Source organism: Homo sapiens, chromosome 2 (assembly GCF_000001405.40).
Source record: "Homo sapiens chromosome 2, GRCh38.p14 Primary Assembly".
In the NCBI taxonomy this organism is placed as follows: Eukaryota; Metazoa; Chordata; class Mammalia; order Primates; family Hominidae; genus Homo; species Homo sapiens.
This window is the reverse complement of record NC_000002.12, coordinates 181,951,536-181,978,352: the sequence shown is the minus strand read 5'-3', so window position 1 is coordinate 181,978,352 and position 26,817 is coordinate 181,951,536. Positions and strand designations below refer to the sequence as shown.

General features: G+C 38.3%; 1 protein-coding gene and 1 pseudogene across 1 annotated transcript in view, besides 1 other annotated feature; one reads left to right on the top strand and one right to left on the bottom strand.

The window, feature by feature from the left end:
- The window catches only part of PPP1R1C (protein phosphatase 1 regulatory inhibitor subunit 1C), a 176,906-nt gene extending 153,033 nt beyond the window's left edge, over nt 1–23,873 (bottom strand). Inside the window, exons 1-2 of the transcript NR_048567.2 lie at nt 23,719–23,873; nt 3,089–3,134 (exon numbers count right to left, since the gene is read on the bottom strand). The gene's annotated coding sequence lies outside the window, so the exon portion shown is untranslated. The remainder of the gene's footprint in view (nt 1–3,088; nt 3,135–23,718) is intronic.
- KRT18P29 (keratin 18 pseudogene 29) lies at nt 15,828–17,213 on the top strand (annotated as a pseudogene).
- Nucleotides 22,542–23,741: an enhancer, noted in NCBI's record as "MED14-independent group 3 enhancer chr2:182819339-182820538 (GRCh37/hg19 assembly coordinates)". NCBI's record gives its function as "activates an origin of replication core promoter dependent on BRD2, BRD4, P300/CBP and CDK7 cofactors, and independent of MED14, by STARR-seq in HCT116 cells {active_cell/tissue: HCT116}" and the evidence as "EXISTENCE:reporter gene assay evidence [ECO:0000049][PMID:35650434]".
- Nucleotides 23,874–26,817: the final 2,944 nt, after the last annotated feature.

The window sequence follows — 26,817 nt, the reverse complement described above, 5'->3', positions numbered from 1 at the left end:
CAAATGTTCTGTCATGAGGCACATTCAGAACCCAGAAGGTATTCAGTGAAAAGCCCAAGTCGCATGCAGAGGTTTGACTGTGTCCCCACCAAATCTCACTCTGAATTGTGATAATCCCCATGTGTTAAGGGCAGGGCCAGGTGGAGTTAATTGAATCATGGGAGTGGTTTTGCCATACTTTTCTTGTGGTAGTGAATAAGTCTCATAAGATCTGATGGTTTTATAACTGGGACTTCCCCTGCACAAGCCCCCTTGCCTGCCGCCATATAAGACATCCCTTTGTTCTTTCTTTGTCTTCCACCATGATTGTGAGGCCTCCCCAGCCATGTGAAACCATGAGTCCATTAAACCTCTCTGCTTTATAAACCACCCAGTCTCAGGTAGGTCTTTATTAGCAGCATGAAAACAGACTAATACAAGATGTCACATGCTGATTCCTGTCAACAGCCCCAGTGGAGCCCAGACTTTGAGTCATCACAGCTACCCCATGAGACATGTGAGTGAAGAAGCCTCCGGGTAATTCCAGTCCCCAGCCACGTGAGTCAGCTCCAGTTGTGAGAGTTCCAACTGAGGCCCTCAACATAGTGGAGCAGAGACAAGTCATCTTCACTTTGCCTTACCTGGATTCTTGACCTACAGAAACTATGGACATAAAAAATGGTTGCTGGCCTCCAAAGTGCTGGGATTACGGGCATGAGCCACCACACTTTTTAAAGTGTCCTGTTAGGCACTTTAAAAATCATTAGTATTATTCTTACAGTTTTCTATTTTATAACACAGAAGAGTGGTCTGTCTTGAAGGTATACACATAATATATGAGTCCTTGTCAAATAAGCCCTGAAAGACATGGGGATAGATAAATTAATCCAAGCAGTTTGTGGAATGCAAAGATAAGAAAAAAGTGTAGAATTCTGATAAACCCAAATGTTAAGGGGGAAAAGAGGACAAAATGGAAACAAACACACACACACAAAAATACAATCAGAGGAGTAAGAAGACCAGGAAAGAATAACAACATGGAAATAAAGATTGAAGAGAGTTTCTTTAGGAAACATGTGATCAGCATGTCAAAACTACAGAGGATGTAATTACAAACATCTAAAAATTATCCACTGAATTCTAGTAGTTATATTGAGGGAAAGAGTGGGAAATAGGTAGGTGATAAAAAATTAGCCTAGCTTTTTTTTTTTTTTTTTTTTTTTTTTTTTTTTTTTTTTTTTAGATAGATTCTCACTCTGTTGCCCAGGCTGGAGTGCAATGGCACGATCTCAGCTCACTGCAACCTCCACCTGGGTTCAAGTGATTCTCATGCCTCAGCCTCCAGGTAGCTGGGATTACAGGCATGTGTCACCATGCCAAGCTAATTTTTGTATTTTTAGTAGAGACAGGGTCTCGCTATGTTGCCCAGGCTGGTCTTGAACTCCTGGCCTCAAGTGATCCACCTGCCTCAGCATCCCAAAGTGCTGGGATTACAGGCATAAGCCATTGTGCCTGGCCCATAATTTAGGCAAGTTCTTTAAAAAACACCTTGACAGTTAAAAGAAAGCCTCCTTCAAACATGGGACCTTACAGTAGAGAGCAAGAGCAAGAGTGGAGTGGAGCTTTTTAGATTTATTTTATAGATGAACCAGACTTGAATATGTCCTGGGCTGCAAGGAGGTAGCCAGAGGGGAAAGATGTTTAAAATACTCAAGAGACAGAGAGGAGTGAGGAATAGATAGATACAGATATAGATATAGATATAGATATACAGATATATAGATAAAATTTATATTAAGGTGAGGAGAATTACTCAGGATTCCTGAACAGTAGGCCAGTAGCCTTTGTAGGAGATTATAGGTATGATCCTCTTACTCAACGATATAAATAAATAAATGAATAAATAACCCATTTGCAAAATTCTTCACATTTTAAATAGTTTGGTAATACAATGGAAGAAAATAATGTTATAAGATTTTATTTGGTTTGGATTCAGAGTAACTTCTAGAACTCTGTTGTTGGTAGGGTTTCCAAATAATTTTCAAAAATTTCACACAATGTTTAAATAGTATAGCTGTATCTAGTATAATTTCATTATAGATTTGTATCCATATATACACATGCATGTACTCATGCATTAAACACCTACTGACATATACATACACGCTTACTTATACTTTTGTGTGTGATGTGTGAAAAATGTTTGGAAGAATATATTCTGAGATGTTAATGGGGTTGTCTCTGGATGGTGAGTTTATAGGTTATATATTTTCTCTTTATGATTTTCTATGTTATACAATGAGCACATTTGAATTTTTTAATAAAAAATTAAGAGCCAGAATAACAAAGATAATTTTAAATAATATTTTTAAGGTTCTTTTGCATTTTGATGCAGAAAAAGATTTTTCACACCCTCTCTTAAATCAGAGAAATTAAAATAGAGCTCTTTTTCAAAAAAACATGCTTTGTCTTCTAATGAAGGACAAGCTACTTTGGATGAGATCATTATTTCCAAAATCATATTGAATTTACCTCCCTTACTTAATGCAAAAGAACACTGTTCCTAACATTCTTACATTTACCTATAAGAGCAATATTATAGGTACACAGAGGGCCTTTCAATATGCATTGTACTTGACATATGTAATACAATGGAAACGAACTACAATAATAATTGTGCACATGTACCCTAAAACTTAAAGTATTATAATAATAATAAAATAAAAAATAAAAAGAGAAAGAACCAGGAGAGTGTTTTCTTATAGCTTCCTGTTAAATAGCTATTATTTTATTGGTTTAGCTTTGTTAATTCTTTCTTTAAGCTATGGATAACAAGTGCAACATATTCTTATTTTTTTACATAGTTAAAACAGAATAAATGAATGTGTTGTCTGAGAGAGAAAAAAGAGAGAGAATAAACACAGTCGAAGATGAAGCTCCATAAATTTGAATGAACTTCACATTTTCTACTCAGAGGAAATGTTCAAAATATAAATAGTATTATGCACCATCACTGATGTAGGCAAACCATGAACTATATTTTAGCAATAGTTATCAATCAGGGAAGACTTGAAAGAACAAATTCTCTCAAAGTCTTGCCCAGTCTTACCTTTTTAGATGTCTTTCAAAAGAGAATCTTGAAGAGAGAAAACATTCTAAAAAAAAAAAAAAAAAAAAGGCAACAAATAACTACCAGGCTGATGTACTATCTCCAGTTTAGTTCTTCAAAACATTTCATCAGGAACACTGATCTAAATTACCCCCAAAATTTTATATTATAATTTTTCAAAGCAGGGTTTTAAGAGTCCCTTAAGTCAGTGCCTTGTAACCCCATATGATTGATGTCTGACACAATCTTGACAGTCATCAGAATTTTAGTGGACTCCTTTCATTTATTTTGCAGGTATCAGGAAAAGCATTTGGGGTACTGCCTTTATTGAGAGACATTACAAATGATTGAAGACAGGAAAGACTGCACTCCTAATAATGGTGAAGCACTTTAAAATATGTATAACCTTTTAAACGATGTTCAGGTATAGCTAGTGGAAAATCAGGTAGTTCCAGGCAGCTACTGCTGCCTAACTACTCTCACTTTCTCTGGAAACCAGTGAGCATTCTGATTTATAGTTCTCAGGCAAAGGGTGTCTTCCAACCCCAAGTGACTGTCTTCTCCATTTCACACCTTTACACCTGAACATTCTCAAATTGTTTCTGAAAATCACATAGCACAATTGGAAAATCTGAGTTCCTCAATTCCAGGAAGGGTCCACTGTATATAAGGTTGACATGGAGATGCTTCAGATTCATATTTATTCTAGAAGAATCCAATCTCAGAATGGATACCAAATCTTTGTGCAAGGGAGTATGATCACAGTCTTTTCCAATTACAGTTTGTGACAAGACTAGAATATATATATTCTGTGATAATATTAAAGTGCAGTTAAGATACTTTCATTGAATTTCTGGTTGTTTTGTGAAATATTTTAACAGCATCTTCTGTTCAATTCATTTGCACCTTCAAATATACTCTATGGAATCCAATTTGGAATTTATGTAACATAGATAAATATCAAGTAAGAAATATTCTCAGAGTATAATCTTCTGTATGTTATTTTAATTAATATTCACAACCATCTCTTAGATTCCTGTGGGAAAGAGGACAAACAGCAAATACATGATTTAAGTCAACTCTAGATATTGGTTCCATTTCTCTTTCCTTAATGACTTTTTTTTACCTTAAAGTCTCTACCCACCCATATATAAAGCCTTATAAATACTCCAAGGTAGCATAATTGACTGATTTAAATTTCAACTCTTATCTCTCAATCTTGGTAAAATGCTACTATTTAACATAATGTTTAAAAGGCAAGATACAAGGAAAAAACAAGTCATCAAATGTCTGCATAACCCACAAACTAATTAATCAATCCCCAGAAATAAAAAGTTGGTGCTAACAGTAATTGATTAGACAACCTTTTCAAAATATTTTTTAAAAAGAAAACAGGGATGTAAATTTAAATTAAATATAAATATAATTTGAAAGTTTCATAGAATGTAGATGTCAGTGGGGCCATACATTACATGCTGTATTCATCCTGAGTATGCCTTTACTTTTTCAAGAAATGTATTTGATTAGAACATCTCTGCAAAAGGCAGCCAATTATTTTTTGTACTAACAGCGTTACAGAAAGATCTGCTTTGCCAAAAGTCCCTTTTCTTCTGCCTTTAATCTTCAACAAATGATCAGCTCTCAGTTGACACTGAAACATTCGTCTTGCCTTTTTTATTATCACTATAAAACTTGACAAATAGCTCTCTCCTGTCTTGCTTCTTCTGCTTACCTCCCTATCTGCTATGTAAATGGTATACACACATTTAGTACTTTGTATATGTTCTCTGAGTTCTAACATCTATTTAAACAAAAATAAGTTCTTTATAAATGATTTCAAGTTTTGGACTTATGTTGCTTCAGTTTAGCAATCTTCTGGCTCTGCGTAAACTCTGCAAAAGAGCTGTTCTTGAGTGCTTGCCTATGTTTCCATGCAGAATGTAGGCTTATTCATATCTACAAATAACGGAGCATTAAAAATAAAATAATTTTCTGATTAGGATGAGTCACTTCCAGTAAAAGCAAATGTCTCGGTAAGAACATGAAACCTATATTGACTGAGAGCATTTGCCTCTGTGTCTTGGTCATGGTGGTCTGGGGTGGGCCTGGTCTGGCCTATGAGTCAAAGATGCTTACTGATCATATTTATGCCACAGCAACCTGTTTTGGGGATCACCAGTGCCATCCCATAGTCTCTGCTTCTTGAGATTTTGAACTGTTATACATCTGTTCTTACGATTTCTTAATGATCCAGTTTTAAAAAGCGTAACATATGACTCATTATACTGCTTGTGTAATATATGCATAATGAGTTTGGAAGCAAACAGATAATTCTTAATTCAGAAAGAACATGAAATTTCTAGCAGGTTGTAATGTGCTAAGCTTTATTTTCCAGTACAAATAATGAGTCATGGAACAAAATGAATGATAGGAGTAGGTAATTAAGAAAGTATGATAAGGAAATCAGTTTAGCTCATCATCTGGCACTCTATAGAAAATAGAAATTAAAACTTTATTTTCTAGGCGCACCTCAGGCCATGTACCCCATAATCACCACTGAACTTACTCTTTCTTGAATAACCCAAGTCCTTTCACTTTGTACATATGGTCACTTGTAGTGACTCAGAGCACCCTTCCACCCTATGTTTGCTACTTAGCAAACATCTCTACTTTTAGGACCAAGTTCAAATGCTCCTTCTGCTAAAATGTCCTCCAAGTGCTTTGTTGCTCAATCCTCTGGACTTTGTTGATGTATTGTGTTTTTTTTTTGTCCTATTAAAAAGTAATTACACGAATAATTTATATAATGGATGAATACACGTTTATTGTCCACATACACCTCCAAAGAAACAAGATGCTCAGCATGACCTTTTCCACAGGCTTCACTCATCTGCCACAGTGAAATCATCTATTTGTTCGCCATTTTTCGTACATCACACATTTTGTCTTGGATTTATTCTCTGACTTACTGAAGTATATTCTTTAGTAAGCTTTATAGAAATGATTCATAGGTATTAAACTTTCCAAGACTTCGAATATCTAAAAATGACTTTCTTTCCCTTCCCACATTAGTGAATTTGGCTGAGTAAAGAACTCCAGATTGAGAGAGGAGACAGAGAATGATAGCCAAATAAAAGTCTCTACCAATTGTCCCCTTGGCAGAAACACCAAATTAAATGACTATTCACACAAAAGTCCTTCATGAGAACCAAAAAAATCATGTGAGCAATCACAATACCTGGTTTTAAGTTTATATCACTGGAAGAGGCACTGAAGAGGGTAGTAAAGATACGCTTGAATTGCAGACACCATCCCTTCTCCATCCCCCAGCAGTGGCCATGTGGTGCAGCAAAGAGAATCTGTGCACTTGAGGAAAGGAGAGCAAAGGGATTGTGGGACTGCATTGGAACTCAGTGTTGCCCTGGCACAACAGAAAGCAACATCAGGCAGAACTAAGCCGGCATCTATAGAGGGAGCATTTATATGAGCCCTAGACAGAAAGGAATCATCCATCCCAACAGTCAGAACCTGAGTTCTACCAAGCCTCAAGACCATGGCCTACAGTACTCTGGGGCCCTAAATAAACCTGAAAGGCAATCTATGCCTCAAGGACTGCAATTCCTTGGCAAGGTCTGGTGCTGTGCTAAGTGTGGAGTGAGGGGACTTGCAGGGAACGTGACCTAGTGAGACACCAGCTGGGGTGGCCAAGGGAGTGCTTGTGCCAACTCCCCAACCCCAGGCAGCACAGCTTGTAGCACCAAAAGAGACTCCTTCCTTCTGTTTGAGGAGAGTAGAGGGGACATTAAAGAGGACTTTGTCTTGCAACTTGGATACCAGCTCAGCCACAGTAGAATAGGGCCACAGGCAGAGTCCTGAGTCCCCCATTCCAGGACCTAGCTCCTGGACATTTCTAGACACACCCTCGATGAAAAGGAAACTCGCTGCCTTGAAGGGATGGACCCAGTCCTGGCAGGATTTGCCAAGTGCTGATTAAAGAGCCCTTGGGCCTGAATAATCAGCAGTGATAGGCAGTACTCGCTGTGGGCCTTGGGTGTAACTCAGAGATGTGCTGGCTTCAGGTGTGACTAGCACATTCCCAGCTGTCATGGCTGTGGTGAGAGACTCATTCTGCTTGAGAAATGGAAACAGAAGAGTAAAGGAGACTTTGTCTTGTGGCATGGAAACAGCCTGGTCACAATGGGGTAGAGCACTAGGTGGGCTCTTTGGGCTCCTGATTCCAGGCCTTGGCTCCTGGATAGCATTTCTGGACCTGTCCTGAAATAGAGGGGAGCCCACTGGCCTGAAGGGACAGCCCAGGCCTGGCAGCATTCACCATGAGCTGACTAAACAGCCCCTGAGCCTTGAGTGAACATCAGTGGTAGCCAGTCAGTACTCTCCGTGAACTGGGGCAGTGGTGGCCACAGAAGGAGTCCCCTCTGCTTGTGGAAAGGAGATGGAAGAGTAGGAAGGACTTTGTCTTATGGCTTGGGTGCCAGCTCATTTGCAGTAGAATAGAACATTAGGTAGATTCCTAAGCTTCCTGACTCCAGGCCCTGGCTAATGGACAGCATCTCAGGACCCACCCATGGCCAGGGAGAAATTGCCACCTGAAGGAAAAGCCATAAGCCTGGCTGGCTTTGCCACCTGCTGATTGTAGAGACCTAGGCCCTTGAGCAAACATAGGTGATAGCCAAGCAGTGGTTATCATGGACTTTGGTCAAGACCTAGGGCTGTGCTGGCTTTGCACAGCTCGGCACTGAGAGAAAAACTCTGTTTGGGGAAATGTAAGAGAAGAGAAGAAGAGTCTCTGCCTGGTAATCCAGAGAATACTTCAAGATCTTATCCAAGACCACCAAGGTGGTACCTCTATGAGGGTGGAAGATTCACAGCATTACTAGGCTTGGAGTGCCCCCTAATGCAGATATGGCTGCAATGACCAATATCTTAGATCACAACATGCAAGTCCCTTCAAATACCCTGAAAGCCTTCTCAAGAAGGATGGGTACAAATAAGCACAGACTGCAAAGACTATAATAAATACCTAATCCTTCAACGCCCAGACACCAATAAACAACCACATGCATCAAGACCATCCAGGAAAACATGACCTCAAAGGAAAAAAAAAAAAACTAAATAAGGCACAAGACACCATGGACCAATCCTGGAGACAGAGAGATATGTGATATGTGACCTTTCAAGACAGAGAATTCAAAATAGCTGTTTTGAGCAACTTCAATGAAATTCATGATAACACAGAGAAGGAATTCAGAATCTTATCAGATAAATTTAACAAAGAGATTGGAATAATTAAACAGAATCAAACAGAAATTCTGGATTTGAAAAATACAATTGACATAATGAAGAATGCATCAGAGTCTCAACAGCAGAATTGATCAGGCAGAAGAAAGAACTGATGAACTTGAAGACAGGCTGTTTGAAAACACATAGTCAGAGGAGACAAAAGAACAAGAATAAAAAACAAGCATGCCTACAAGATCTACAAAATAGCCTCAAATAGTAAATCTAAGAGTTTTTGGCTGTAAGGCAAGGTAGAGAGAGAGACAGGGGTAGAAAGTTTATTCAAAGAAATAACAGAAAATTTCCCAAAACTGGAGAAAGATATCAAGATACCAGTACAAGAAGGTTATGCAACACCAAGCAGATTTAACTCAAATAAGACTACCTCAAGATATTTAATAATCAAACTCCCAAAGGTCTAGGATAAAGAAAGGATTCCAAAAGTAGCAAGAGGGAAAAAGAAAACAACAAATAACAAAGAAGTTCCAATATATCTGGCAGTAGACTTCTCAATGGAAATCATACAGGCATATAGGCCAGGAGAGAGTGGTGTGACATATATAAAGTGCTAAAAGAAAAAAATATGTATCTTAGAATAGTATAACCAGAGAAAATATCCTTCAAACATGAAGGAGAAATAAATACTTTCCCAAACAAAAGCTGAAAGATTTCATCAACATTAGCCCTGTCCTACAAGAAATGCTAAAGGGAGTTCTCCAGTACAAAATTAAAAGACATTAATAGCAATAAGAAATTATCTGAAGGTATAAAACTCACTGGTAATAGTACACAGAAAAACAGAATATTATAATACTGCAATTGTGGTGTGTAAACTACTCATATATTGAGTAGAAAGACTAAACAATAAACCTATCAAAAATAATAACTACAACAAAGTTGGAAGGATAAGAAGTACAATAAGACACAAATAGAAATAACAGAAAGTTAAAAAGCAGGGGGATATCAAGTTAAAATTTACAGATTTTATTTGTTTTCTCTTTGCTTGTTTGTTTTTGTAATCATTATGAATCCATCATTTTAAAATAATGTGTTGTAAGATGATATTTACAAGCCTCAAGTAACCTCAAATCAAAAAACATACAACAGATACACAAAAATAAAAAGCAATAAATTAAAGAAAATTTAATTTAAAACCAGAGAAAATCACCTTCACTAAAAGGAAAGAAGTAAAGAAAGAGGAGAAGACCACAAAACAACCAGAAAACAAATAATAAAATGGCAGTAGTGAGTCCTTCATTATCAATAATAACATTGAATGTAAAAGAACTAAACTCTCCAATCAAAAGCCATAGAGTGGCTGAACGGATCACAAAACAAGACCCAATTATCTGTTCCCTACAGGAAACACACTCCACCTATAAAAATACACATAGACTGAAAATAAAGGGATGGGAAAAGACATTCCATGTAAATGGAAACCAAAATAGAACAGGAGTAACTATACTTATATTAGACAAAATAGACTTCAAGACAAAAACTATAAAAAGGACAAAAAGGTCATTATATAATGAAAAAGAGGTCCATTTTAGCAAGAGGATATAACAACTATAAACGTATAAACCCAACCCTGGAGTATCCAGATATGTAAAGCAAATATTACTAGCATTAAAGAGAGAGATGGATGCTAATACAATAATAGCTGGAGACTTCAACACCCCACTGTAGCACTGGACAGATCATCTAAACAGAAAATCAACAAAGAAACTTTGGACTTAATCTATGCTACAGACCAAATGGTCCCAAAAGATATTTACAAAACATTTCATCCAACAACTAAAGAATACATAATCTTCTCCTCAGCACCTGAATCATTCTCAAGATCAGACAACATGTTAGGCCACAAAACAAGTTTTAATAAATTAAAAACATAACTGGAATCATATCAAGTATTTTCTCTGATCACAATGGAGTAAAACTAGAAATCGATAACAGGCCGGGCACAGTGGCTTATGCCTGCAATCCCAGCACTTTGGGAGACCAAGGCGGGTGGATCACCTGAGATTGGGAGTTTGAGACCAGCTTGACCAACATGAAGAAATCCCCTCTCTACTAAAAACACAAAATTAGCCAGGCATGGTGGCTCGTGCCTGTAATCCCAGCTACTCTGGAGGCTGAGGCAGGAGAATTGCTTGAACCTGGAAGGCGGAGGTTGCAGTGAGCCAAGAATGTGCCATTGCACTCCAGCCTGGGCAACAAGAGTGAAACTCCATCTCAGAAAAGAAAGAAAGAATGAAAGAAAGAAAGAGAAAGAAAGGAAGGAAGGAAGGAAAGAGAGAGAGAAGGAGGGAGGGAGGGAGGAAGGAAGGAAGGAAAATTGATAACAACAGAAACACAAACTTTGGGACTTTACAAACATATGGAAATTAAATAATATGCTCCTGAATGACCAGTGGATCAATTAAAAAATTAAGAAGGAAGTTGAAGAATTTCTTGAAATAAATGAAAATGGAAACACATTGTACCAAAACCTGTAGGATACAGCAAAAACAGTACTAAGAAGAAAGTTTATAGCAATAAGCACCCACATCAACAAAGTGGAAAATCTTCACATGACCAACCTTACAATGCCTGTTAAAGATGTAGAAAATCAAGAGCAAACCAAACCCAAAATTAGTACAAGAAAAAAAACCCCACAGGTATCAGAGCAGAAATAAATGAAATTGAAACCAAAAAATATGAGATTAATAAAGGGAAAATTTGGTTTTTTGAAAAGATAAAACCAACAAACTTTTAGCCAGACTTACTAACAAAAAACGAGAGAAGACTCAAATAAATAAAATCAGAGACAAAAAAGAAGACATTACAACAAATAACACAGAAATTCAAAGGATGATTAGAGACCACTATGAGCAACCATATGCCAATAAATTGGAAAACCTAGAAAAAATGGATGAATTCCTAGACACCTACAACCTACCAAGACTGAAGAAGTTTAAAACCTGAAAAGACCAATAATAAGCAACAAGATCAATGCTATAATAAAAAGTCTCCCAGTAAGGAAAAGCCAAGCACCCCCCATGGCTTCACTGCTAAATATTACCAAACAATTAAAGAAGGACTAATACCAATCCTACTCAAACTATTCTGAAAAATAGAAGAGAAAGAAATACTTCCAAACTCATTCTATGAGGCAAGTATTATTACCCTGAAATCAAAACTAGACAGACACATCAAATAAAGAAAATCACAGGTCAATATCTCTGAATATCGATGCAAAAACCCTTAACAAAATACTAGCAAACTGAATTCAGTAACACATTAAAAAGATCATTCATCGTGAACAACAGAGATTTTTCACAGGAATACAAGGATGGTCCAACATACAGAAATCAATGAATGTGATACATCATATTAGCAGAATGAAGGACAAAAGCCATATGATCATTGCAACTGATGCTGAAAATGCATTTGATAAAATTCAATATCCTTTTATGATGAAAAAAAATACTAAAAAAACTGGGTATAGAAGACACATACCTCAATGCAATAAAAGCCATATATGACATACCCACAGCTAGTATCATACTGAATGGGGAAAAACTGAAAGGCTTTCCTCTAAGATTTGGAACATGACCATGATGTCCACTTTCACCACTGTTATTCAACATGGTACTGGAAGTACAAGGGAAAAATCAGATAAGAAAAAGAAATAAAGTGCCTCCAAATTGGAAAGGAAGAAGTCAAATCATCCTTCTCAGCAGATGACATAATCTTATATTTGTAAAAACCTAAAGCCTCCACCAAAAACCTATTAGAACTCATAAACAAATTCAGAAAAGCTGCAGCATACAAAATTAACATATAAAAATTAGTAGTGCTTCTATATGCCAACAGTGAACAATCTGAAAAGGAAATCAAAAAATAATTACCTTTACAATTGCTACAAGCAAAATAAAATAAAATACCTGGGAATAAACTTAACCAAAGAAGTGAAATATTTACAATGAAAACTATAAAACACTAATGAAATAAAATAAAGAGGAAATGAAAGAGTGCAAAAATATTTCATCTTCATGGATTGGAAGAGTTAATATTGTTAAAATGTCCATACTCCCTAAAGCAATCTACAGATTCAGTGCAAGCCCCATCCAAATACCAATGACATTCTTCATGGAAATAGAAAAAACTATCCCAAAATTTATATGGAACCACCAAAGATCCAGAATAGCCAAAGCTATCCCGAGCAAAAAGAACAAAACTGAAGGGATCACATTACCTGACTTCAAATTATACTTTAAAGCTGTAGTAACCAAAACAGCATGGTTTTGGTTACTGGCATAAAAACAGACACAGACCAATGGAACCAAACTGAGAACCCGGAAACAAATATACACAGCTACAGTGAACTCATTTTCAACAAAGATGTCAAGAACATACATTGAGGAAAAGACAGTTTCTTCAATAAATGGTGCCAGGAAAACTGAATATTTATATGCAGAAGAATGAAACTTGACCCCTATCTCTTGCCATGTACAAAAATCAAATCAAAATGGATTAAAGACTTAAATCAAGAACCCCAAACTATGAAACCATTAAAAGAAAACATTGATGAAATCCTTCAGGACATTGGAGTGGGCAAAGATTTCTTGAGTAATATCTGACAAGCACAGGCAACTAAAGCAAAAATGGATAAATAGGATCACATCAAGTTAAAAAGATTCTGCATAGCAGAGGAAACAATCAACAAAGTAAAAAGACACTCCATAAAATGGCAGAAAATGTTTGCAAACTATTCTTATGACAAGGGATTAATAACAAAAATATAAGGAGCTCAAACAACTCTATAGGAAAAAAATCTAATAATCCAATTTAAAAATGGAGAAAAGATCTGAATACAGATTTATCAAAAGAAGATATATAAATGGCAAACAGGTATATGAAAAGGCACTCAACATCATTGATCATCAGAGATATGCATACTAAACTACAATGAGATGTTGGGCCGAGTGCGATGGCTCACGCCTGTAATCCCAGCATTTTGGGAGGCCAAAGTGGGTGGATGACCTGAGGTCAGGAGTTTGAGACCAGCCTGACCAACATGGTGAAGCCCTGTCTCTACTAAAAATACAAAAATTTGCCAGGCATGGTGGCAGGCTGCTGTAATCCCAGCTACTCTGGAGCCTGTGGCAGGAGAATCTCTTGAACCCGGGAGGCGGATGTTGTAGTGAGCTGAGATTGCACCACTGCACTTCAGCCTGGGTAACAGGGTGAGACTCTGTTTCAATAAATAAATAAATAAATAAATAAAATAAACTACAGTGAGATGTCATCTCACCCAAGTTAAAACGGCTTTTTTTCCAAAAGACAGATAATAACAAATCCTATTGAAGATGTAGCAAAACAGGAAACTCTGTACCCCATTGGTGGGAATGTAAATTAGTATAGCCACTATGGAGAATAGTATGGAGGTTCCTTAAAAAACTAAAAAATAGAGCTACCATATGATCCAGTAATTCCACTGCTTAGTGTATACCCAAAAGAAAGGAAATCAGTAAATTGAACAGATATATGCTCCCTCATGTTTATTGTAGCACTATTCATAATAGTCAAGATTTAGAAGCAACCTAAGTGTCCATCAACAAACCAATGGATAAAGAAACTGTGGTACATATTTTCTTTGGAGCACTATTCAGCAATGAAAAAGAATGAAATCTTGTCATTTGCAACAGCATGGATGGAACTGGAAGTCATTATGTTAATTAAGTGAAATAAGCCAAGCACAGGAAGACAAACTTTGTATGTTCTCCATTTTTTGTGGGAGCTAAAAATTAAAACAATTGAACTCATGGCAACAGAGAGCAGAATGATGGTTACAAGAGGCTGGGACGTGTACTTGTGGAGTGAGGGAGTAGGGCTGGTTAATGCGTACAAAAATATATTTATATAGAATAAATAAGATCTGGTATTTGATAGCACAACAGGGTGAATACAGTCAACAATAATTCATTATACATTTAAAATAACTAAAAGTTATAATTGAATTGTTTCTATCACAAAGAAAGGATAAATGTTTGAGGTGATGGATACCCCATTTACTCCTAGTTAATTATTATGCATTGTATGCCTGTATCAAAATATCTTACGTACCTCATAAATACATAAGCCTACTGTGTACTCATGAAATTTTTTTTAAAATTAAAATTAAAAAAAAAACAAGCAAAAAAGAACTCTAGGTTAATATTTTTGTCTTTCACAACTTCAATATTATTCCTTCACTTTCAACATGGGAACTCTATCATTAGCAATCTGGGTTTTTTTCTCTTGAAAAACTTTTGGATTTTTGTTTGTTGGTTTGTTTTTTGAGACAGAGTTTCTCTCTGTAGCCCAGACTGGAGTGCAGTGGCCCAATCTTGGCTCACTGCAACCTCTGCCTCCCGGGTCCCAGTTGAAGCAATTCTCCTGCTGCAGCCTCCTGAGTAGCTGGGATTACAGGAACGCACCACCATGCCCAGATAATTTTTATATTTTTAGGAGAGAGGGGGTTTCACCATGTTGGCCAGGCTGGTCTTGAACTCCTGACCTCGTGGTCCACCCGCTTCGGCCCCCCAAAGTGCTGGGATTACAGGCGTAAGCCATTGCGCCTGGCCAACTTTTCGAATTTCATATTTATCCTTGGTATTCTGAAATTATATTAGGGTATGTTTAAATGTGGATAGTGTTTTTTCTATTCATGCTACTCAGAAACATTTTGGATCTTTTAAATATTTTTAATGACTTGCTTTTATCCTAAATTTATTTAGCAAGTTTATGGTTTGGGGGTTGCTATTTATAATGATCTTTATCAAACGGAATTGTTAGATAATGTTTGTATTGTATTTCATCAGATCAAATGAGACCCTCTTTTATTGTCACTGAATATAAGCTCTGAACATAGAAACTTGCCTTGAATGTTTGAGAGGAGGCCAGACTGATAAACCTCCAGGGTTTACAAATAACTTTTATTTAGAGTCTTGGGGATCGGCAGCCCTGCTCTGTGTTGTATATTACCTTGTATACTACCCACCCTGGGAGTATCCTGTGTCTGAACTCCTACTTCAGAGATCCCCCCTCTCAAATGTGTCCTGCAGACAAAGGGAATCAGTGATTCTCCTTCCTTCCCCTGTCTTCATGTGGATGTGAAGGTCCCTGGTTAGCTCAGGCTCCGCTTTCCTTTATCTCCAGCCACAGTCTCATACAAAAGGGACTCTCCTAGGAAAACTCACTGTATATCAAACAAACACCCCTCTAGGCTTCATTCTGGAGTAAACACTGCTGGGGTCAACAGCTGCTTATTGAGGCTAGAGGGTGGGACCCAGATTATTCAAATAAAGTCTTTAATTTATTGCCCTGATACTTGGCCCAAGGGCCCCTCCCGCTCTTTGCTTTGTTCGATCTGAGCTTGATGTTTCTCTGCAGGTTCCTTAGAAAACTGCTATGACGGGTCGGCAAAGCCTGAGTCCTGTCCTCTCACTCTCCTCCCTGGATAGCATGAGCTTCACCACTCGCTCCATCTTCTCCACCAACTACCTGTTCCTGGGCTCTGTCCAGGTGTCCAACTACGGCGCCCGGCCGGCCAGCTGCATGGCCAGCGTCTATGCAGGCGCCGGGGGCTCTGGTTCCCGGATATCCGTGTCCCGCTCCACCAGCTTCCGGGGTGGCATGGGGTCCGGGGACCTGGCCGCGGGGATGGCCGGGGGTCTGGCAGGAATGGGAGGCATCCAGAATAAGAAGGAGACAATGCAAAGCCTGAATGACCGTCTGGCCTCCTACCTGGACAGAGTGAGGAGCCTGGAGACCAAGAACCGGAAGCTGGAGAGCAAAATCCGGGAGCACCTGGAGAAGAAGGGACTCCAGGTCAGAGACTGGAGTCATTACCTCAAGACCATCGAGGACCTGAGGGTTCAGATCTTCGCAAATACTGTGGACAATGCCGGCATCGTTTTGCAGATTGACAATGCCTGTCTTGCAGCCGATGACTTTAGAGTCAAGTATGAGACAGAGCTGGCCATGCACCCGTCTGTGGGGAGTGACATCCATGGGCTCCACAAGGTCACTGATGACCAATGTCACTTGGCTGCCACTGGAGACAGAGATGGAGGCTCTCAAGGAGGAGCTGCTCTTCATGAAGAAGAACCACGAAGAGGAAGTAAAAGGCCTACAAGCCCAGATTGCCAGCTCTGAGTTGACCGTGGAGGTAGATGCCCCCAAATCTCAGGACCTTGCCAAGATCATAGCAGATATCCGGGCCCAATATGATGAGCTGACTCGAAAGAACTGAGAGGAGCTGGACAAGTGCTGGTCTCAGCAGATTGAGAAGAGCACCACAGTGGTCACTACGCAGTCCACCAAGGTTGGAGATGCTGAGATGACGCTCACGGAGCTGAGACGTACAGTCCAGTCCTTAAAGATGGACCTGGACTCCATGAGAAATCTGAAGGCCAGCTTGGAGAACAGCCTGAGGGAGGTGGAGGCCCGCTACACCCTGCAGATGGAGCAGCTCAACAGGATCCTGCTGCACCTGGAGTCAGAGATGGCACAGAGCCGGGCAGAGGGACAGCACCAGATCGGGGAGTACGAGGCTCTGCTGAACATCAAGGTCAAGCTGGAGGCTGAGAGCGCCACCTACCACCGCCTGCTTGATGATGATGACTTCAATCTTGGTGATGCCCTGGACAACAGCAACTCCATGCAAACCATCCAAAGACCACCACCCGCCGCAAAGTGGTGTCTGAGACCAATGACACCAAAGTTCTAAGACATCAAGCCAGCAGAAGCAGGGTACCCTTTGGGGAGCAGGAGGTCAATAAAAAGTTCAGAGGTGAAAGGAAGGAAGGAAGGGAGGGAAGGAAGACAAGAAAACTGCTATGATGATGTGACACACGCTCCTGTTACAGCCTTTATTTTGCAGTTGTCCCTCTTCTGATTTCTCCAGCAAAGTGATTTTATCTGCCCTTTACCTTCCAAGAATCACTCAAAATTTCTGGTCTGAGTCCATCTTTTAAAATCAGGGTATATTATGGAATTGTCTACTAAAATGTTTGCTATCATTTCAACGCATTTCAATGGAATTTCTGTAATTCATACGGGCACAGAAGGGGAGCTAGAGCTTGTTTTGTTTCATAATTTTCATGATTTGATTACGTTGTACTTTAGAGCAAGTGTTCTTTGTTTACATGAGTGACCCCCACAAGAAAGTGATTCCCAGATGGCAGCATCAACATTTCAGCTGTCCCCACTGCCTGACACAGTTGCCTGTAAGTGGAGAGACTGCATAAAAAGGACACAAACATCAAAAAACACAAGGGCCCATGGCAGAGAGAATTCTGAGTTTTGTGTTAACGGAAAACACTAATAGAAACTGTTGAAGAGAGGGGGAGAGAGAGGTGTTTGGAGAAATAGGTGGAAATGGAGGATGGAAAACGTTTCATGTGACATTGAGGTTGTTCTTCACTCTTTGCAGAGCTCCAGTTTTCCTGTTTGGATGAAAGAACAAAAACTACAAAATTGCCAAGACTCTTTCTCTTTTACTTACTGTATGCTTCTATGAATTTGATACTGGAAATCAACAGACATTACCAGACCACTGATCTCACAGTGCCTCCAGATAGAAGCCATATGGTTTGTGCTCATCCTAAAATGAGCAGAGGCAGGCTTTGGAAAAATTGTGAAAAACTTATTATTTTTAAAATTGTTGTTGTTTTCTGTAATTTATAAGCAGATCTTCTTTCCCTCTAGACAGTTCTCCACTATAATTTTTGGTTTTCTTTCTTTCAACCACCACGTCTTAATGACTTACTCTGTAGCTAACTCTACAAATCTCTGATAAGGTATTAATTTATAAAGCAGGTGTTAGCTGATAAGGATCGAGGGCAGATGCTTTATACAGGTATCCACAATTTTTGAGGCAATATTTACCTTTTATTTTGTAAGACTCTTTTAGTTATAAGGAGAAAAATTAACACAAGAATCACATGGTTGAACAAATTTGCCATCTAATAAAAGCCTAATTTTTTTTAGATCATTGGAGCCTCCTACAATGGCTTCTTATTTTGCAGCATGGCTACTACCTAAGTTAAAAACATTATTAACTGGATACTGCAGAGTCCTAAAACACTTAAAAAGCTAAAGTCATACTAGTAAAATGATGTATAGTGACAGTGATACTGGAGGACAGGCATACTGCTCAAAGCTTTCTCCAATTACAGTCCATGCATGGACAGACAGCTACCTCTCTCTCACCTGCTATCAGGTTTCAGTCTACAGAAAATTACAACTTTTAAAAATAGTCTCATACACCTAAAATGTGGCTTTTTTTTCAGCTGACACTAAAATGACTCATTTCCTACTATATACATACATACAGATGTCAAAATATTCCCACATATTTTGCTGGAATGTCTTAATTTTAAATTGGAGCTAGAAAGTTCTAGGCTAAAGACTAGCCAACCTAAAATGTTTTTTAAAGATATGTATTAACTAGTTGATGGGTTATGTAGCATGAAACTTTGCTCTGTATAAAGCAAATTTAAATAGACATAACCATTAATTACTCACAATACACAATATGAGAGACATCTTGTTGATTCAGATCCAAATGCTTAAAAATAAAAAACAAGTTTATCAGTTGAGTAAATAAATAATAATATTTAGCACTTAGCATATGTGTGGGGAGAGTAGTTATTTACTAATATTGGCATTCTCAAAATGAGGTTGCTAATATCAAGGGAAATTTCTACAAAATTCTTAATCGTAGGTTTTCAATTTACTGACAGTTTAAAAAACAAGCTATGCATTTAGAATGACTAAAATTTACAGACTGAGGCTCCCAAGTATTGTAGAGAATGTAGAGTAACTGAAATTCACATATACTGCTAGTGGGAGTTAAAATGCTATAATCACTTTGGGAAACTATATGGTAATATCTATTATACTAACGCTTAACATATGTGTAGTCTATGCAGTCAACTCTACTCTCAGGTATTTACACATTTCTTGCAGAAATGCAAACATTTGTGCCTCAAAATACACTTAAAAGAAATTTATAACAGCATTACTCATAATAGCCCCAAATTGGAAATAGCCCAAACACCCATCAGCAGTAGAATAAATAGTGAAACAGTTATATAATTGAATACTCCACAGCAATGAAAAAGAATGACCACCCTCTAGATGCTACAATGTGGATGCATCTCAATAAGTCAGATATAAAAGACAGACAAAGAAGAGTACATAGTGTATGATTTATTTACATAAGGCTACAAAGCAAGCAAAACTAAGTGTAATCAGAGTACTGATTACCTTTTCAAGGGGTCTATTGATGGGAAGTGAGTACAAGAAAGACTTCTATTCTATATCTTGATCTGGTGCTGTAATTACCTTCAGGAAGAAGGACCCACTGCCCAACTCATGGCTGCATGGATATTGTTCATCCACTCTGTTCCCTCTTAAGTTCATGCCATTGCAGTATATACAGATGGTGCTTCATCCACATCCCTATGGAGCCTCCTTATGATTCCTATGCCCATCCCCAGCTTTTGTATTTGTACTTCTAACAGCTCACAGTCTCAAAACCAAGGGGACTGTCCTTGGTTTACTGCAGCCTTTTTGGCCATACTTATAGCAGGAAGTGCCAGGGAGTTTATGGCCACCACAGGGCAAGCTATGGAAAATGACTCCCTTTCCTCAAGCCAGGACAAAATCAGTAATGTAATTTCCTTTGCACAACTCCCTGCAGGATCGGGCTGAGAAAGGGAGTTGACCTGAAATTAGTCCTTGCTTAGCTACTTCCACTTCCCTGTTCTGCTTCCATTAAGCCCCCCTGCTGATTTTTCTTGGGAGCGCTTCCTTAGCATATCTCCTGCTCAAATGTTCTTATATCAAAGTCAGCCTCTGAGAATCAGACTGAAAACAGCTATATTGGAAACCCAGTTATCACACGGGTGTAGCTTTCTTTCCCTCACTACCCTTCAAAATACTTCAATCTACTTTCATTATTACTCAGTCCCTCTTAGGAATTAAGCCTTCGAAGCCTTCCATTAATTAAATGAGTACACACTCTGGGAGGCATGACTCATGAATCATTTATCAATTATTTGCACTTTAGCGAAATGCAATGGCAAGATTAGCAATGCAGTCATCCAACAAGACCCTCAGCCACCAGAAGAATCAACATTGGCTGATGAGTATGGGGTAAGGCGTGGTGTTCAGAAAAGTCCAAAGTACAAGCCTTGCAAGGAAAGGGGAGCTGAGTGGGGCATGGGAGACAGATTCCTAAGGTATGCAATGGGAATTATCAGATTTTGATTATTTGGGTATAAGAAGAAAATAAAGAATACTCAAAACAGAAACAGTTTTGAGAAGAAGACACCCTAACTTCATAAATTTTATCTAGGACTACCCAATAACTAATATTTAGTAATTTTACGTATAAACAATGGAATGAATGTCTGTTATGATTCAGTAAGTTAAAGGGACTTAATAATATTTCTAAATGGTTGAGAATGGGTAAATTACTACCTGTCCCAGAAGAAACTGAGATGGCTTCATGAATTGAGTGGAATTTCAAGGGCTTGCTTGATAAGAGTTAGCACAATTTTTTTCTTCTCTTTTTAAGACAGAGTCTCACTCTGTCGCCCAGGTTGAAGTGCAGTGGCGCTACCTCGGCTTACCACAACCTCCACCTCCCGGGTTCAAGCAATTCTGCCTCAGCCTCCTGAATAGCTGGGATTACAGGGGTGCACTACCATGCCTGGCTAATTTTTGTATTTTTGGTAGAGACAGAGCTTCATCATTTTGGCCAGGCTGTTCTCGAACTCCTGACCTCAGATAATCCGCCCACCTCAGCCTCCCAAAGTGGTGAGATTACAGGCGTGAACCACTGCACCTGGCCTGAGTTAGCACAATTATCCAGTGGCAAAGCACATGCATACTTATTTAAATTAAAACAGCTGATGAAATTTTTCTGGTCCCAAATCAATTTTAAGGTTTAACAGTGTGAACAGCTCATGGTTTGAGCTTTAGAATTAATTACAGAGTGACTCAACAAACAAAATTATGTAACATTTCAGATGGAAATTTCAAAAATAATACATTTAAATCTATACTTCACAATTTCAATTTACTTACAGTATCTAAAATAATCTGAAATTGCCATTTTTTAAACACATGCAAAAATATGTTAAATATTACATGACTGACTTAATTGGAGTGAATGGTAATCAAAATTACCAAAAGAAACTGTAACATGAAGGATATGAACAGATACTTTTCAAAAGAAGACATTTATGTGGCCAAAAAAACATGAAAAAATGCTCATGATCACTGGTCATCAGAGAAATGCAAATCAAAACCACAAGGAGATACCATCTCACACCAGTTAGAATGGCGATCATTAAAAAGTCAGGAAATAACAGATGCTGGAGAGGATGTGGAGAAATAGAAATACTTTTACACTGTTGGTGGGAGTGTAAATTAGTTCAACCATTGTGGCAGACAGTGTGGCGATTCCTCAAGGATCTAGAACTAGAAATACTTGACCCAGCAATCCCATTACTGGGTATATACCCCAAGGATTATAAATCATTCTACTATAAAGACACATGCACACGTATGTTTATTGCAGCACTGTTCACAATAGCAAAGACTTGGAACCAACCCAAATGCCCATCAATGATAGACTGGATAAAGAAAATGTGGCACATATACACCATGGAATACTATGCAGCCATAAGAAAGAATGAGTTCATGTCCTTTGCAAGGACATGGATGAAGCTGGAAACCATCATTCTCAGCAAACTAACACAAGAACAGAAAACCAAACACCACATGTTCTCACTCATAAGTGGGAGTTGAAAAGTGAGAACATATGGGCACAGGGAGGGGAACCTCACACGCCAGGCCTGTGGGCAGGGGTGGCGGCGGGGAGGTGGGGAGGAGATAGGGGAGGGATAGCATTAGGAGAAATACCTAACATAGATGATGGGTTGATGGGTGCAGCAAACCACCATGGCACATGTGTACCTATGTAACAAACCTGCACAACTTAATAAAAAAGAAACTGTAACACAAAATGAGATTAATAAAATTTAAAAAGTATATAATATTAAAACATGCATAGACAAAAGACTAGACCAAAGCACACCAACATTTCAATGGCGCTTATCTCTGTGTGCTAGAATTGAAGATCATTTTATTTACTTCTTAATAATCAAGAAAAGTGTTATTTATGAAAAAGATAGTGTATAAGCTCCTCCCACTAATTTAAATTTCCCCCAAAAAAGGGCTTAGTAGACAAATGTTACTTTAGAATGGACAAGTTTTGAAAATATATTATTATCAAGGCTTGTATGAATTGAGGTGGAGACATTTACTTTGATCTCTTTGAATTACCACATATTGCCTAGAAAACACTCTAAAATAGAAAGCCTCACAGACTGTAATGGAACAGTTTTTGTTGGTAGTGATGAGATAAAACAATCAGACATTTTAGTAACACTATTTCCTTGATTGACAAAAATCAAAAGGGAAACGATAATTACATTTAAACACACGCACATGGCCTTTCCCTGGTGGAAAAAAAAATTGTATTTGTGCTGGTCTCCCTTAAGTAATTTTTCAATGGTCCTCTTTCAAGTTATAAATGTCAACCAATTTGAAAGCATGGTAAAGAGGAAAGAAATATGTAAACAAATTTCATAGGAAAAGTACAGCTGATGAAAACAGGAATCTAATCAAGGGAGTTTTCAAATATCAAGTTTCCATCACATTGAAAGGTATTTGTTGTGACTCAGAAGGATGATTTATTTCAGATTTGGCATTTCCTGTGAGTCACACTTTTCATCTGGCCATCTTAGAATATTTTATAAACACGAACCTCAATAACATCTGTATTATTCTCTTTGTTTTATAAATGGAATAATAAGTCATCAAAGAGCTTATAAAGCTGACAGAGGTCACCTAGGATGAGACTGATTTTTGTATCAGCACCTTTCCCTGAGACAGCCCTCAATTAGGATTTGAGAACTCCACAGCTCCTGTCCTAGCCATTTCGAAACATGGAACCCATGTTTTTAACTTTTAAAAATATTTATGTATGGAGACATGCCTAGGGAAAAAAAATCTCTCTTTAAACACATACATACTGATACATATCACCTATCTATTCATATAGATACGAAGATATCATAGAAAGAGTTCATAACCAGTAAAATGGCAATAAAATGTTAACTGCCAGAGCCCAGCTCCTGATCATGGAAGTCTGTTTCTGTTTAGGCAGCCAAAAATATAATGGGGAAGTCTGTAGGAAATAGAAATGTTTAGAATTTTTTCCTAACCTTTTGTCAGTTGTGATGATTCTGACGTCTCTTAACTCTTGATCAGATATCAGAGGTTTCTGAAGTTTCTTGGTTCGTGGCTCTCCAAGGTCTCGGTACATTTTTCACTGTGTCCTTAGGCCAAAAGGAGTACCTAGCAGTTCAAAGTATAAAGTAACCGTCAGGTAGGAACTTAACAAGAGTAATTGGCATGATGTCCGACAGATGGCGCTGTGCTTTCCCTCGAAAATTTAAATTACTTCGCGGTGCTCTTAGACTTCACTGCTGGAGGGGGTCGGGGGAATGTATGTGGAGGTCGGGGTGGTGGGGTGGGGTGTGTGTGTGTGCGCGCGCGCGGGGTGTGTGTGTGTGTGTGTGTGTGTGTGTGTGTGGCGGGAGGCGGTTAGCGGGTAGTGGGGCGCGGGGGGAGGGGTCCCTGCCTGGCCACCTGAATTCAGTTTGTAAACCACAGCTGTAGATCACACATACATTAGGTGAAGTTTGCAGAAGAACTGGGCTTGGTAGAATTTGAAAACGGATGAAAGACATTCCATGGAGGTGCCTTTCTCTCATTTGAGAAACACCAGAAAGTTATCTGGTTCTAATAAAAAAGTCTATTGGTGTCCTTTAAATCTAATTACTATGGTGCTTGCCCCAATGAAGAGGGAAAAGAGCTGTCTCTTCTACTCACACATAGGAAGCCTTTGTCAAGCTTTAGCTATCTCCCTTCAGACAAAAGCCTCCAAAATTACAAAACCACTAAGTTGTTTTGTTTGACTTAATCTTTTCCTGTTTTGTTGTCTATGAATCCTTCTCCAACCCACACAGTCTTAAAGATAACAATATGAATAAAATTCATTTCTGCTTGCATCTGAATCACACCAAAAGAAATACACAGATTTTTGTACATACAGTAACTTTGTCTGGGACAGTCAGACTTATAAGAATAAATGAAATTTGTTTCCTGGAACATTGAAGAGATACCCAGAAGAAATAGGCAGTCTTCTGACCAACAGGTACTAAACTTTGCTAGTAAATCTGTGTGCTTGCCAGTTGGATGAGAGCAGTTGCATGTATTAGGATGCTCTGGACAGAAGAAATAATGGTTTTAAATGAATCTGCTGGTGAGAAGTTATAAGAGTAGAATCCTTATTTTTATTGGTTTGAAGTTACAAGAATAGAATCCTCGTTTTTGTGTGTTTGTTTGTTTTTGAGAGAGCCTCTCACCCTGTCACCCAGCCTGGAGTACAGTGGTGCGATCACAGCTCACTTCCGCCTTGACCTCCCAGGCTCAAGCAATCCCTCAAGCAATCCTCATGCCTCAGCCACCTGAGTAGCTGGGACTACAGGTGGGCAACACCACGCCTAGCTAAATTTTTAATTTTTTTGTAAAGACGGGGTCTTGCTATATTGACCAGGATGGTTTCAAATTCCTGGCCCCAAGCAATCCTCCTACCCCAGCCTCCCAAAGTGCTGGGATTACAAGCATGAGCCATCACACCTGGCAAGAGTAGAATCCTTTAAATTGCAGGTATTGATTTGCTGTGGAACTCTTTCTCCTGCAGGCAACTCCATGAGGCATGTATTTGGGAGAAGAACAGCAGGAATTTATTATTTATTTATTTATTTATTTATTTATTTATTTATTTATTATCAGTGATTAGTCTCCTAAGCCATACCAGGAATGCCAGAGAGTTTCTAATGAGAGTAAAAGACTTTGCTCAGAGATAAGTGCTTTTTTTCCAGAACTATAAGTGGAGTGTCTGCTAAGTGCCAGGCACTGTCTAGGTTAAGGGGAGGATCAGGGGCCATGTTAGGGGCTGAACTAGGATGACTCTTGCTGTCACTGAACTTAGCCTGGTGGTTAAGAACAACAGAGATTTTTACATCTCAGAGGAAACAAAGATATCAGGGAAATTCGCTTTACTCTCTTACCTTAATTTACTCTTTTTAAATGAGAGGGTTGGAATACATGATCTCTAAGCCCTAGTGCTCTGATTCTAGCACCATACAAAGTTCACTTCAAAGTCAGTGAAAGAGTTGCAGCAACATAAATAGACCTCAGGGTATAAACACTATGTAATCCAAAGGGAAAATAAAGATGACAGACTACATGTTTTAAAATAAACTCACTGTGGTTTTTAATTCTCATTTCCAACCTTGAGTTTTATGAGTATTGATTTCCTAAGAAAAGAAAGCCTACAACTGCTACCTTCCTTAAGTACCTTTATATTCATTTTAAATAAGGCCATTAAAAATTTCAGGCCTAGTATATATAACTTTCAGTTTAAATGTTCTCTTACCCTCACTTAAAGGACCTTTTTATGTAACTAAAATGTAAAGGTTTAATTTTGGACACATACAAAATTAAGCTTGACATCTACTGAGCATTTATAAGAATACCTTTTTTTGCTGTAAAGTCCTTCAAACAGTGATATAACATGTCATTGACAACACAATGGGGTGGGCAAACTGAGGAACAGAGACATGACATTTGTAATTTGCTTAAGGTCACACAGTTATTTTATAATTGTGTATCATATTCATCTTATTTTATTTATCCTCCACTGTGGTACTATGGAGTAATTTTTTTGCTCTACAGACAAGGAAATTGAGTTTCAGAAATAGTATATTCTTATAGTAGTAATGGATTTGAAACTAGGTCCACCTCTCTAAAAAATTCTTGCAGTTTTTCCCTATACCAAGTGAGATGTTAGCACATAATCTCTGCTTTCCAAATCATATGAAAAGTATATCTTCCTTTTTTTCTCAAAGAATAAGAGGCAGTTGCAGAAGAGGGAGTAAGGTAAAAAGTAAAGAATTACCATTCTATTGCCCCACAGTGTTTCCAGACTTCTCTTTCCCTAACCCTTCCTCGACCTTATACGTATCCAGATTAGACTACCACAGTTTGTAGACTACACCCTATCCAGCCTCAGTTTCTTAGTTTAGTCACTTCTGTCCTAGAATTATTTTCCTCTCATCTCTGTTTGCTAAAAACCTATTCATCCTGAAAGTCCATTTCATGAACCATTCCCCTTGCATGAACACTCCTTGTTTCCCCAAATTAGATAAAATCTTGCCCACTTTGAATTCTCAAGTTCTTTGTTGGTCCTTGAG